At 38.4% G+C, this 15,210-nt stretch overlaps 1 protein-coding gene and 1 long non-coding RNA gene across 5 annotated transcripts in view; one reads left to right on the forward strand and one right to left on the reverse strand.

The window, feature by feature from the left end:
• Positions 1–15,210, reverse strand: part of SDK1-AS1 (SDK1 antisense RNA 1) — a 108,539-nt gene that overhangs the window by 58,682 nt on the left and 34,647 nt on the right. For all 4 annotated transcript variants that reach the window (XR_001744897.3, XR_001744898.3, XR_007060194.1 and 1 more), the window contains exon 1: positions 1–15,210. This exon is cut by the window's right edge and continues 34,647 nt beyond it. This is a non-coding gene — a long non-coding RNA (SDK1 antisense RNA 1).
• Positions 1–15,210, forward strand: part of SDK1 (sidekick cell adhesion molecule 1) — a 967,749-nt gene that overhangs the window by 977 nt on the left and 951,562 nt on the right. The window lies entirely within an intron of this gene.

Here is a 15,210-nt window from a genome sequence, read left to right on the forward strand (position 1 = left end):
CTGAGTCTTCGCACCGCAGGGTCTGGTTTCCGGTGAGTGACATCCAGAAGACTTGGAAATATCAAGTGCCAGTCGCTGTGAAAAGCCTTTTCCAGCCCCTCCCCAGGGCCTCGTCCTCTCCCCAGCCCCCGCCTGCTCCTGACTCCCCCAAGTCCCAAAGCCCGACCCCAAGTGGGTGCTGCGCGGCCGGTGGAGCAAAACTTTCAGTGCCCACAGCTTTTGCACTTGGCTTTGTTTTTCTCCCTCTATTGGCTTCTGTTTAGAATACAGTGGTGAGCTCTGAAATAGGGAAAGAGGATCTGCTGAATGGAAATGACCTTTTGAAACGAGAGATGGGATCTCTTGTGAAACGAGCTTTCCTTCCCAAATCTGGGCTTCCCTCCACCCCCTCCCCGCCCCCGACAAAACCCGTAACGTACCCCTGCCAGCTAGCATCGTTTTCTTTTGAAGTTTGCTGGTCTTTAAACCAAAACACCCCCCTCAACCCAGAAATAACTATTTTAATACGTCCTTTGGTAACGTCTTTAAAACACATTAGTGAACTGGTTTTGCTGATGGTAGTTTTAGGAAAATTAACTTAGTTGTATTCCAAGATACAGCTAACGAACAATCATGGTAAGGAACTCGATATTCTGAGATTGGCGAAGATGAGAGCATTAAACTTAAATTAGCTGTGTTCTGTGTCCTGTGAAGATGATTTATGTGTAGTAACATGACTTAAATGTTGTAACATTTTAAAGGTCTGAGCTCAAAACTATCATCCAATAGCTTAACAACGAACTCATACTTTTTTTTATTGATGCTTATGTAACGTTATCTAAATTGTGCCCCTCCACCCCCCTCCAGCTTTCATAAATGCTCCCTCTTATGTTTTACTACATGAAAACAAATTGCCATATTTCTGGTTAATTTAACTCCTCCATTACTTGGAAAATTTTCATTTCACTTATTTGTGCTTTTTGCTTAATGACTTACTCTGGAAGAAAAGCATTTATTAAGTCATTTTGTACAGTGGGATCTGTAGATTGTTAGAGCAACCAGGTTCAAGTGAAGAAATCTAAATCACTTAGGATGACCTTTAAAATAATGTGTTTATTAAGTTTTCTTTTTTTAAACAGTGACTTGCATTTTGCACTAAGACCTGTACGTTCATACATTTGAAGATTGGTGCACAGACTGAAATGGTGGGGAAAAAATCTGCCAGTGGCTTTGTTTTGAAGTATATTACATAGATTTCAAGTTTTTATCAGTTGCACTTTGAAGGTTGTGTAAAGCATTGCATTTTAACAACTGAAATGTTAATGAAAATACATTTTAAAAATATATTAAGGCAACAACCGAACTTTGTTAGGAATATTTTATTCCTTTTTGGCAGTAAAAACATTGGTACCTGTTTTACATTTATATGGCTTATGAAAGTGTACAGATCTTTTAGTGTAAAATTTCAGATAGGTTGTCACAAATTTTAAGTTCATTGACGGGTTTCTGTTCTCTTTGCTCTGTGAAATGTGTAATATATCCATCTTTTTTTATATCGTATTGAAAATTCATATTACAGAGGAGATGTCACCATTTGACAAAAGCTCATGTATCTTGAAAATGAAAATTCTGGTGCTGTTATAAGAGATTTCTGATGGGATGATGAGTTGGTCATATGTGCAGGAGTGCATTCTCTTGAATCTTATCAGATGTAACATTCTAAATGGAATAGTTACCACTACGTTGGAGCGCCTCCTAAGTACCATATTATTACATTGTAGCTAGGTGAAGCTATGACTAATTTCTCTGCACCTCATGTAAGTAGGCTAGGTCGTGTATTTTGAGAAAAAACGTGCGACATTGATCAGTAAAAGTTACATTTTTATAACCTAGGTTACAGACCCTCTATGTAACTGATCATGATGGGAACCGCCAGGTTCAGGTCTTCCAAATGTAACTTTAATATGCCCTGGAGTTTCTTCTTTCTATGCGGTGATGAGAATTTCTGAGTTGTATGCTCTGCTTATTGCTGTGTGTTTAATTGCTTGTGACTTTCCCGGATTCCTAAAAAGCCAAGTCTTTAATTCTGGAAGGCAGGTGGCAACACATGCTTTCTTTATGCCATCCACCAAGGAGCCAGCTGTGAGTGGTTTGGAAGGATGACTTCTGAGGCTAAAGATGTATAAGCAGTCTTATGTGTGAAGTCCGTGGTGCCTTTAGCTTTACTGCTGGACTCTTTACAGGCTTACTGATTCTGGCAGTGTTCAGTAGACCTCCTAGATTCAGCTTGCATTCCTCAGGCCTAGAAAGGATAGGAATGTTCTTGTCCATGGGGCTGTTTGTTCATAGTCCTCAGTTTCTCATTTGAAATTGTCTCCACTTGGACCTATGGTTCTCCAGCTTTGGTATGTGTTAGAATCACCTGGGGAATTTGATGAAGCTGTAGAGTACCTACTCTTCCTCTTCCATGAGCCACATTTGCTTTCCATGTGATTATAATACACATTGGAATTCGAGAACTACTCACTTATTACCTTGTGTTTCCCCCTATTCCAGACACCTGCTGACTTCCTGGAAACTCTCTAGCCCAGTGTTTCTCAAACTTGGTTGCACATTGGAATCACCTGGAGCTTTAAACTTCTGATGCCTGGATGTCACTCCTAGAATTGGTTTTAATAAACTTGAGGTTTGATCTGGGCATCAGGATGCTGAGACACCCCCTCCTCCCTCCAGGTGATTCTCATGTTTAGCCAAGTTTGAGAACCACTGCTCTAATGGTTTTACGTGAGGCCACATGGCTTGATTTCCCTTTCATGCCTTCCTGGGCTTATTGTCCTCCCCCAACAATTGCAGTGACTTTTATGGACCTTGGGCCTGTGTTCACTTACACCTGTTCCAGGTTCATGATTTGAAACTCAACAGAGTACACTAGCTTTTCACTTATGTATCGTTTATTCCTACTGAAACTGTTGAGCCCCTGCTTTGTGCTGCCTGAGGTGTACATCGGAATCACTGGTGAAAATTTAAAATACAGTTATCTGGACTCCACCTCAGACCAGTTGGTTCTCAGAAGCATGCATTTAAAAACTCCTCAAGTGATTCTTGTATGTTTGTGTTACTTTTTTTATTTTTTATTTTTAATCCTCGTGTTGGTTAATCCCATAATGTCACTCAATTTCTCTGTCATCCTTAGCCTGATTTTTCTGTGGTCTGGGTCACTTTTCTCAGGCCAATTCCCAGCCTTGGACAGGGTGTACTAATTAGGCATTTCTGCCACTTGTTTGCTAGAGTGTTGAGTTCACTACAAATCTAGCTTCCTTTTGGGCCCATGTTGCTTTCCATTAATCCAGAAGTACTTTGCTTCCCCTCCTCCTAACCTACTCCCTTTACAACTTTGTAATTTGAGTTTCAACTGGAACTTGAGTTCTAGACTCCCTTACTTGAATATCATCTTAATAAAGAGTCTTGCTTAGTGAGTGCTCAGATAGTTAATTAAATTTTATTAGGCCACTGGGTATTTAACAGACAACTGGTCTCTTGGTTGGTTACTGTCTTCCAAATCCAACAATAAGCAGTTATTACCCTCTATGCAGTCTGCATAGCCACCTGTAGCTGTCCTTTATTGAACCTTTACGTGCCAAGCACTAAGTGCTCATTTATTCTTCACAGCAGCTCCTGAGAGGTAGACAGCATTTTTGTTCTCATCTTACCTATGGGAAAACTGAGGCATTCAGATGTTAACTAACTTTCCTGAGGTCCCAGGACCAGGAGTGGTGATGCCAGAATGAAAAGTCTGATCCAGAGTCTGAACATAACTTGAGTTCATAACCCCTGGGCTGGAGCGTTTCCCATGTAGCCTCTGCCTTTATAAGGAGAGGGAAAAATGGGCAGCAATCAGATCTGTACCAAAGGGAAAGACGGTGGTTGATATTTTCTAAAAACAGTATTGAGTAATCTGACCTCAAGTTTTAGATAAACCTTATTTACGATTATGATTGCAAAATAAAAATTACATAATTTGGAAAATAGAGATGAGGGATGTATGTAACCCCTTCCATCTACACATTCGTCTCCTCTAAGAAAATGACTATCACCATTTTGATGTATTCCCCTACCCCAATTTTTCTTTCATAACATAACATGAATTCCAGCTTCATGATGGTCTGTTGGCAGAGATTAGACCACCCCAGAATGGACTACTGGGAGTGCACCAACTATTTATTTGAGGAACATTTGGAAAATTCTTTTATCTGCACTGAAGTGTATGAATTTGAGTCCTTTAACTAAAGGAGGTGGAGTTTGTAAGGTACTGATCTTTTATTAGTTTGCCTTAGCACACATTTTATGTAAACAGTTAAGTTTAGGCTATACTGGGGTTTATACCTAACCAGAAGTTTCCTGGGCCCTCAAATACTGAGATAAAACAACGTGGAAGGCTGCAAGTTAAGTGGGTAATTAAGTGATATCAGGTAAGACTGTGTAGTTTAATTCTCCCTACCAGTTGCCTTTATGTTATTTCCATCCTCAGAGCCCCTGTATTGCTTGTATTGGAATACATAGGATTTGGCGTCTAAGGTGGCAGAGGTGTGTGGCATGTAGTGTCTTTCTGCCTGCCTGCCTTACGGTGTCCCAGAGATCAGAGACTGGTAATGTCAGCTGACTGAAACTAGAGAATGGAATGGACACAAAGTGAGGATTCTGATTAGGTCACGGCTTAAATTTCTCTAAGAAGTAAAGAAAGTGGTAGTTATGAGAGTAGACCTCCAGGTCCAAATGCGTTGAAAGTTGAATTAAGCTCAAGGTGGGGAATGAAAATCACATTGAAAGGTGTAGTATAAAGAAAAATTAAGGTTTATTTACAAAAGAAAGCTATTGATGTTTTGTTATTTGATTAAATACTCCTGGTACCCAATTATACATTTAACCCAAAGTAACCGAGCATTTTAATTTGCATAGTTTCTAAAATTTTATTTGACTTCATTTCTGTAAGGCATTATCTTAAATTTCCCCCTAAGTATGTACACCTCTTTTTTTTAAAAAAAGGGCATAAACGTTCGTAGCCATAATCCTGAGGGAGGACATATTTTGTCAGTTGGGACAGCAAATATGGCACCTCCTGCCATCCTATGGTAGCAAGTAGAAAGAAGCTATAGGTTCTTCAGTGAATCCCTGAAATGCAAAAGTCTGTCACAGTTAGATACCTACCTGCCAGTTATTGATCCTATACCTGAGATCTGTTCTGGAGAGGTTACTACTCTTAGAGCTTCATTATGTGAACAGTGTTGCCACTAAATCCAAATACAAAAATCATGATTATTATGGGAGCATTGCTGTAGGGAACCCTTGTTTATGTATGTGCAATTCTAGTGTTTAGGTGGTTGGCTTCCTGACAGAAAGCTCCAAAGCCAGAAACTCATTCCATCAGCCTGATACCAATCTCCTGTGGGTATTGTGGGAATGAAAGCAGTTTTTATAAAGCTTTCCTAGAAACATGGATATAGTAAATGGAAAAGACATTGGGCTAAGTATCAGTAGGCCTCGTTTATACTTCATTCTGTAACTACTGTGCAATATGAGGAAGTCTATTAGTCTCTCTGAGTCTGTTTTCTCACCTATAAAAGGAGGGATTAGACTAGATGTTCAGAATTGTTCTACTCTGATTCTCTGATCTTCTATATGTTGTCTTCCTTTCTGCCCTTCACTAGAGTCTGCATGTGTCTCCTGTCTGGGGATTCTGTAACTCCATATGTCTTAGCTTAGAACCTAATTTTCTTCATTTTACTTTTCTCAGAGTATTTACAATGTTGAAGACAACTAAGATGCAATGTAGTATTTCTCCTTAGGTGCTGCCGTCTAACACATGATATATTTACTCTAGCCTAAAAATGGTTCATGTTCAAAATTTTAGGTTCTGTAAAACAAATTGGTGCCATAATTTATCAGTATAAGCCTGAAATTTGGAGAAATAAATTTTCTTAAAATGTGAGATGCTTATTTATATACATGGCTGGAAGAAGGGGCAAGGCTAACAAATCTGGAGGTAATTAATGCAGTGAGAAACTTAAAAAGATATGAGAAAATGGCGATGGATGAGAATGTTTATATTTACTGTACAGTGACCATCAGTAATGAAAGAGATTAGTAGATGTCTGTTTTTGTGCTTAACATAATGTTATGTTGGTTTAATTGTCTTCATTAGGGGCTTTTAGTAAAACAAAGGGTCTTTAAAATTAACACAGTAATTTTTCACTTTAACAGGCTTAACTGGCACTTTATTGATATACAGACAATGTCTAGTGAAGATAACAGCTATCAATTAAATAGTCCAATTTCTTGAAAACAGATAGTCAGGTAAATCTATTTCTGATTTTTGGAGATTAGGTAGATGAACATGGGTAAGACTATAGTTTCTGCAGTGTTTTTGGCTTTGGTTCATTTTCAAAAAAATTTTTTTTAAATGGATAAGGCTAGGCTTTAGAGTTGTGGGTTCAAAGAATGGGCTAGACCCTGGGGTCCATATTATTACGTAGAATTAGTCTTTGTGCAGTGTTTGGTTGCCTTTTCTCCTTTCTATAACTCTCCATGGTATTCTAGACCTAATTCTTTACCTTGAGGGGGTTGGAAGCTCTCAAGTGTGTAAGCTTAATTTTACAACGATGAATAGTCTTTCCAATGAGAAAAAAATAGAGGGAGATAACCACGTAATGACTATGGTGATTTGGGGAGGAATATGGAAACTTGGGGAGCTCTGGTAGTTGCCTTTATTAAGAATAGTTGGTAGCAGGAATTTTAGCAACCCAAGCAGGCTAATTAGAATATATTTCAGTTTTAGAGTAAGGAGGGATTTTGTATCATAAAGGTATAACCTATCATACTTAACTAAGGGTGCTGATTTCCACAGGTGGTAGTATTTGTGAGTCCCTCTCTCTGGTGTGATCCTTAATTTATTTTGTGTGTTTGTGAGCCTGTTTTCAAAGTGAAGGTCAGTTTTGTCTTCTCTCTAGGTGTTAGGCGCGATGCAAAAAGAATGAAAGAGATTTTGATAGGGTATGACCAAGCCCTTCTATACAATGGATGTCAGTGTTGATTTTTATACACAAACCACCAGATGGCAACAGAAAAAGTGTTCATATAGGATATAATCTGTGGTTTCCACAGCCAAGTTTTTTTTTTTTTTCCTTCCATGATTCACCACTTTTTAGTATGCTTAGGTAACATGTACAATTTCTGGCTAAGAGCAAGGCGAGTTTATAATACCCAGCTATGTGAAATCAAAACCAGGTAATAGAATAGTGGCAGAGTGTCACTAGAAAAAGATTTTTTTTTTTTTTTTTTACATGAGTGTATAAACTGTTCCCAAAGGGAGCAAGTTTCCAGGGATGCAACTTTGATTTATATTATTGTATAGTCATGCTTTTACTTCTGATTTTTTTTATTCAGCATTTATTCAGCTCTTACAGTAAGCTGTAATGATTTGCAGAACATAAAAGAAAACATGGCTGTTACCCTAAAGCATTTTATGTAACACCTTTAAAAGGAAGAGATACATGAGTTCACAAACATTAAGCATATTTATGTATTTGCCGGCCAAAGGTATTTTTACTCTATGTAGAATTTGTTTTATTTTTGCCTTGTAGGCATATTCCCTTTTTCTAAGCGTGCTGTCTTGGCTCTTCTAAAATGGTTGTCTTAGCTAAAACTCCTGGTTGCAAGCTAGAAACTCAGTCTGAACTACTTAAGAAAAAAAGGATTTTATTGTAGGAGTCCTGGGGTATCACAGTATAATTAGGAGAATTTCTTTACATTTGGCAAGTTTAGTATTCACTTCCACCTAGGGAATAACTAGAGCCACATGCTCAAAAGCTCCCGGGTACTGTCCTTTTGGCCATCATCTCTCAGTTTGCTTCTGTGTCTGTGCTGGCATCATTCTGGATTCACTGGAAATTGCTTTCTTTTTGTGGCTGAAACCCAGCTGTCACCACTCTTTGCATTCCTATTGCTTCAGACCCTCAAAGATAGACTTAAAGCTTTGGTGCTGAGTCCAAAATCTGTGAAATGATCAGATTTGTATTTTAAAGTCATCTTGAGTGGGGGGAATAAACCATTATTTTTGTTGCAAAATTGAGAATGGGTTGGAAGAAACCAGAATGAATGACTGTAGATGTGTTGGACTGTAACAACAATTGAGGTGAGAGAAAGTAGCAGCTTGGGCTAGGTGGTGGTGCTGGAGATGGAGAGAGGTAGATGCACTAGAGAGGGATTTAAGAGGCAAAAAATACATGGGATTTGGTCATGGGTTGGGTATGGAAGGTGAATGAGAAAACATCAAAGGTGACGTCCAGGTTTCTGGCTTGCATGACTAGTTGGCTAGTATAACCATTCACTGAGGTTGGACCACCTCTGGGCAGCATGATCATTAGTTTGGTTTTGAATTTATTAATGTGAGGGACCTTTGAGGCATCTAGACAGAGCTGTTAAGTTGTGTGGATAGATGAATTTTGCAACCAGAGGAGGGTCTGGGCTTTTGGTATAAATATTTGTGGAGACAGTATAGCATACTGTTTAAGAGGATAGGCTTGGCATAAAATAAAACAAAGTTAACCACTTGCTAGCTTTGCATCCTTGGGTTGGCTACTTAATCTTCATTAATCTTGACTTTTCTTATCCCTGAAGAATTGTGTAATGATTCTGCCTGCTTCCTGTAGTTGTTGTGAGGGCTGATTGATATGATTGTAGGTAAGGTGTTTTTATCGCATTACCAAGTACATAGCATGCATCCAGTAAGTGTTAGGTGGTGTTATTTATTCTTTTGTGTAGAGGAATCCTGCCTTATTTATCTTTTCTTTTCCTGTAATATTAGGGAGTGATGAGTCACGGTAGTAGAGTGGGGAGTATGGACAGTTGACATAACTGGAGAGGTATTATACTAATATTAGCCTGGCTGGGATACAACCTGGATAAATTGCAGGGCGATGGGCCTGGGGGGAGAGTAGAGTGATGGAGATGAGTTAGGGAATGGTTATGATAATATAGAAATAATATTTGAACTGCAGTAGTATTGGGATGGAAAAAATGGAATGGTCAGTCTTGCTTAGAGAGGTAAATAGATGAGAACAAAAGGCCATTGGATTTGTTGATTACATGGGTAATGGTGATCTTTTTGAGCTCAATCTCACTGGAGTTCTAGGAGTATAAAGTAGATTGAAGTTCATTATGGAATGAATGGGTAGGGAGAAAAGAGTCAACCGGTATGTTCTTGTTCTATTGAAATTCTCAAGGAAAGAGAACTATGGAGGCATTTGAAATGCATAGTGACAAAAATGATCTTAAAATACCTTGGGAATATTTTTTCCAAATTTGAAATCTATTATTGAGGCTGGGAAAAAAAATTGTCATTTGGCAGAATGGTAAGTAATTATCACAATTCTCTGAAGTGATCATTTCTGTTTCATATGTTGCGACTCGTGGAGGCTTCTAGCAACATTGTCACCAAAGCTGAATGTGGAGGACTCCCTTCACCACCCTGCTATAAACACACAGAAACTGTGGACAAAATATAACAAGAACAAACAAGCGTTTCTGAAGTTTAAAATACCAGGGAATCCCTAGGTGCCAGCTATGAACAGAAAATTCAGAGCTAGGGCGTTAATCAGGAGCTCAAGGCCTGTGGTGGTTTCTGATCTGAATACACGCCCCAATGGCTTAGTCCTGAGGGTCTCATGGAGGAGTAGGAGGCATGGCCTTGGGTCTGCATAGACTTGGAAGGTGGAGTAAAGGTTCTCTAGCATCAAACCTTGAAGGGCTTTTCCATCTGTGAAAAGAGAACTAGAAAAACTTTGCCTACTGGTTTGGGAAAGTGTAGGAAACTTGCTGTCCTCCTGGGGTTGTGATCATTAGGAATAAAAAAGGGACATCTAAACTCCAAGATTGCACCTCATAATTGGGGTGGATTCAAATTTAACATTTCTTATAGTGCAACTAACCTTCAAGCTGAGACAAATTAGCATAAAATCTGGTCTAGAACTATGGAAATGAATAGAGCCCTCAGGTCTGAAACTGACCTGCAGAGCAAATTAAAAATCTAAGACTCTTGCAGAAGAAACAAGTCATGCTATAGATGAGCTTGCAATACAAAAATTGCCCAGCTACACAAGGAAATGAATCACCGTGAAGGAGAGTTAGCAGATGAATAGTATTCCAGGAGATTGAGATGATAGGATATATGAAAGAGATTAATTGCTTAAAATTATGAGAGATGAAAGGGGTAAGATCATAATGAAAGAGCACAGATTAGAAAAATAACATGGAGTTGGAAAAGAACCCAGTAGGACTTCTAGAAATGAAAATAATGGTCATTAAGTGTTTTTTTTTAAAAAAAATAACCTCAATGGACAGGTTAAAGAGCCAGGTAGATATAATTGAAGATAAAAACTGTATTGAAAAATCAATAGATTTTTAAAGGAGATCTGAGGAAATTTCTTCGAATACAGTAATAAGGGATAAAGAAATGGAAAATGAGTGGTTACAATTCATGAACTTTAGAATGAGGAAGTCTCATATTACCTTCTGTGAGCTTCCAGAAAGAGGAAATAGAGTAGGAGAGACACTATTAGAAGATAGAATGGCTGAGAAGTTTTCATAATCAATACAAGTTCTGCCTGAGCTCTTAGTTTCAAGAACCGTAGTAAACCCCACACAGGATAAATAAAAATAAATTCATACCTAGACATATTGTAGATGAAGCCTTAGAAAATAAGAGGAAAGCAGTCTGAGGAAAGTTGATGTCTAGACTGGCAGGCATTTTGTTCATAGCAGAAGATGATTGAATAATAACATCAAAGGCTGGAAGTGGAAATCCACTACCAACCTAGAATTCCATGTCCATATAAAGTATTATGATACTCAAGAGTAAATGAAATGGCTGGGTGTGGTGGCTCATGCCTGTAATCCCAGCACTTTGGGAGGCCAAGGTGGGCAGATCACGAGGTCAAGAGATCGAGACCATCCTGACCAACATGGTGAAATGCCATCTTTACTAAAAATACAAAAATTAGCTGGGCACAGTGGCATGCACCTGCAGTCCCAGCTACTTGGGAGGCTGAAGCAGGACAATTGCTTGAACCCTGGAGGCGGAGATTGGAGTGAGCTGAGGTTGCGCCATTGTATTCCAGCCTGGCGACGGAGCGAGACTCCATCTCAAAAGTAAGTGAAATAAAGGTTGTAGATAAAAAACAAAGTTGATGATTAGTAGTTGGAACTACTAAAAAATGCACTTCAAAAAGAAAGAAATTGAACCCAGGAGTGAGGTACAGATTGTAAAGTGCTAAATGATAGGAAGCATTGTTGCAATGTGCCCCTTAAATTTATATGTAATTGCTTTGCAGTTTGAGAAAAGTGTCAGCAGTTTCCACTACAAGTACTCATACTGCAGATTAACGGATTAGCGAGAGTGTAAGCAGTAGGGACGGGTTTGGGAGATGTTGGTCAAAGGATACAAAATTTCATTTAGAAGGAATAAATTCAAGAGATCTGTTGTACAACATGGTGACTATAATTAATGATAACTTGTTTTATTCTTGAGTTGCTAAAAGTAAATTTTAAGTATTCCTACCACAAAAAAGTATGTGAAGTAATACATATAATTAGCTCTATTTAGCCATTTCACAATATATATGTGTCAAAACATGTCGTACACAATAAATATATACAAATTTTTGTCAAAATTTTAAAAATGTATGTGAGCAGGAGTTAATTCATCTAATGCCTCAGTGAATAAAGTGCTGTGTTAAAGGTATAGTGATCAATAACAGTTGCTTCCTTCAGAGAGCTTATAGTTTATTAGGGCATACACACCAAAAAATACAGCGCCAATGTGCAGATGACCCTGGAGAGCCCTTTAAGCCATACAGGGGATTCAGCATCTGGTAGATAAGTGTTAAATAGGACCCTAGCAGGGATACATATAGGCAAGCCATGTTGGAATCTGGGGACTCAGATTGGCACGTGGAAATACAAAGATGAAGGATTCAGGTGGAAAGCTGCTGATCAACAGGAGTGAGGAACCCAACACCTAGATCAGAACAGGATTCTTGCCAAAGGACCAAACATCAAGACCTTCATATTTAGCCAGTACATTCCAAGTGACCTTTACATTCTGAATTAGGGTCTTATTGTCATAGCTGTAGGAAATGTGGACTTGGATCTTGGCCAGCAGAGAGTTAGATTAAATGTGCAGGGTGAAGCACTGTTCAGAGCTGAGATAAAGCATACACAAAGAGGCAAGTGGTTGAGATGGAGCAGCTCAGTGGATGAGAGTTAGTTACAGATGAGATTGTAGCCATTTGCATTTTTGTGGCAACTTGATATGATTGGTTGATGCTCATCAATTCCTGAATTTTGAAAATTACTTATATCTGTATCATGGAATGTTATAGTTGGAAAGACAGAGGCCATCTGCATCTCTAACTTTGCTGTCTTCTGTGGAATGAAAAGCATGAAATATAAGTTGTGTTATGCTTTTATATAGATGAATACTTCATAGCAATTAAAATATTATAATCTAGTGTTTTATTAGATGTAGAGATGCCTTAAGAGGTTTTATTTTAAACCCACAATTGCTTTACTTCAAAAATTGCTCTTTCTTGGGTGAATAACGTGAATTTCATCATACATCCTATTGGCAACAAAAACTTTTTTTTTTTTAAAACTAAACCTCATTTGGCCTGTGAATTGTCCCAAATCAGCCAGTGAGGAAACATTGGGAGTCCTAACCCACTCTGACTTTTTCCTTACTTTAGGGAGCAAGCTGGGTTGGCTAGAGTCCTCCATCCCTATCTGTGTTCGTCAACAGCAGGTGACCTTCACAAATGATGAGGACCTGAATGCTTCTGGTGGCTTTCACAGTGGCTGATGTGGCACATGAGAAGACTACAATGTTAGTATTAAAAAGGATGTTTAGAAGTAGCTCTAATTGACATGGAAGGATTTCTGAATATATTAGGTGAAAAATGAGGTTAGAGTTCTTTGTAGAGTGTACTAGCTTGTTTTTACGGAGTGCTTTTCTTGGCATCAGGCATTGTGCTAAGGCCTTCAAGTTATACAGTATCATACATCCTTACAACCCTATTTTATAGTTGAGGAAATTGAGGTCCAGAGAAGTTAAGGTCACTCACTTCATAAGTGGTGGAACTGATCTTTGAGTGCACCCCTGTCTCTGGAGCCCCTGTTCCTAGTCCTCTCCACATGAACAGCCCTTCCTGGGAGTCTCCAAGTACCAGCTTTCTCTGACATAGGGTCACGCATGCACATGCAAGTAGAAAAGGGTGTGGAAGTCGCATATTATAAAACAGGTAAGAAATTACTGTTTTATAATATGATGCAGTGAGTATGATTAAGAAATAGACCAGCCTACTTAATGTGCTTATCTCTGTTATAGGGATTTCTCTTTTTTTCCTGAATGTTCTAAGTTTTCAAACATTCAGCATTTATAACTTTTTAAAAATTATGAAAGCAATTAGAATTATTTACCATAATGTATTATTACTGGATTTTAGGAAGAATATGGTACTAAAGTTGTTTAGTGGTTCAGACTGAGAGTGCATTAATGGGAACCTGGGATTTTGTTTGTTTGTTTCCTATTTGAGGGAACTTGAATTATTGTTTTGGGCCTTATTTTGTTCATCTGTTGGAAAAAAGCATGCCATATTTTAAGTTACAGGCTCATTATAAGAATAAAAAACTCCTTTGAAAGATGGATTGATAAACACATTTGTACCATCGATTTCTGGTTAGTGCTGTTTAATCTTTATGATTCTAGTGTCAAATTCTCCCCACAACTCTAATATAGAGTCAATTCATACATTCAAGTTAATGGTAGATGGTAGATAGTATGCATAAAAAATTTGAGGCATGAAGTTGTAAATGAAAATTAGGACTAAATTTAAATTTAAATATACATAAATTTTGTATTTAAAACTTTCAGTACAGCCATGTACCCTATAATGACATTTTGGTAAGTGACAGACTGCATATATAAGGGTCCTGAAAGATTATAATTCTGTATGTTTATGGTACCTTGTCTCAGTTCAGATTTGTTTAGACACATAAATACTTGTGGTATAGTTGGCTCCTGTGTTCAGTACAGTAACATGCTGCACAGGTTTGTAGCCTGGGAGCAATAGGCTATATATCATATAACCTAGGTGTGTAGGAGGCCATAACATCTAGGTTTGTGTAAGTGATGTCTGTGATGTTCGCACAATGACAGAATTGCCTAATAGTGCATTTCTTAGAGCTTATCCCCATCATTAAGTGATGCATGACCTGTATATTCAATATAATATAAATGTAAATTGGAGCATTATGTATATATGCTGTAGTGTAGTAGGCAACAATTGGGTAGTGCTTGGATCACAGAAATGTGCCACTTTCTGAGAATGCCCTAGTAGATGTACACAGCAGGGGCCTCACTGGCCATTTTTCTGCCATGTCATCTCTTGGCCCTTTTTTATGGAGCTCTACAAATCACTGCAGCGTGGAACTGGTTCTTGCCCATCCCGAGGTTTGGATGTTCAGTTTCTCCTGAAGTCTACAGTATTTGTTTTCAATTGTATCCCCCTTTTTTGCTTAAACTAGACAGAATTGGTGTTTTTGGGCAAACACTATTTAAACCTTTTAAAAAGGGTCTGGGGGTCTGGGTACTGTGGCTCATGCCTATAATTTTGGCATTTTGGGAGGCTGAGGTGGGCAGATCTCTTGAGGCCAGGAGTTTGAGACCAGCCTGGGCAACATGGCAATACCCTGTCTCTACACAACGTACAAAAACTTAGCTGAGTGTGGTGGTGTGCACTTGTCGTCCCAGCTACTTGAGGGGCTGAGGTGGGAGAATCACTTGAGCCTGGGAGGTCAAGTCTGCAGTGAGCCATGACCGCACCACTGCATTCCAACCTGGGCAACAGAGTGAGACTCTGTCTCAAAAAAAAAAAAAAAAAAAAAAAAAAAAGGCTATCATGGGAGTGCTTAATAAACATTGCTAGCAATTTCGAATCCTATTTTACATAAAAGATTATAGTAATTTTTAAAGTAAGGTTTTTAAGGCAAGCAAAGGAACATGTATTGATTTCTGAGTATATTGCACATTTAATTACAACAAATGAAACTGGTCATCTTGTGTTTTTATTTTTGTTTTCATCTATCTGCTTTCCAGACTAATTGGGGAGCAAGAATTCCTTT

Source organism: Homo sapiens, chromosome 7 (genome assembly GCF_000001405.40).
Source record: "Homo sapiens chromosome 7, GRCh38.p14 Primary Assembly".
Lineage (NCBI taxonomy): Eukaryota > Metazoa > Chordata > Mammalia > Primates > Hominidae > Homo > Homo sapiens.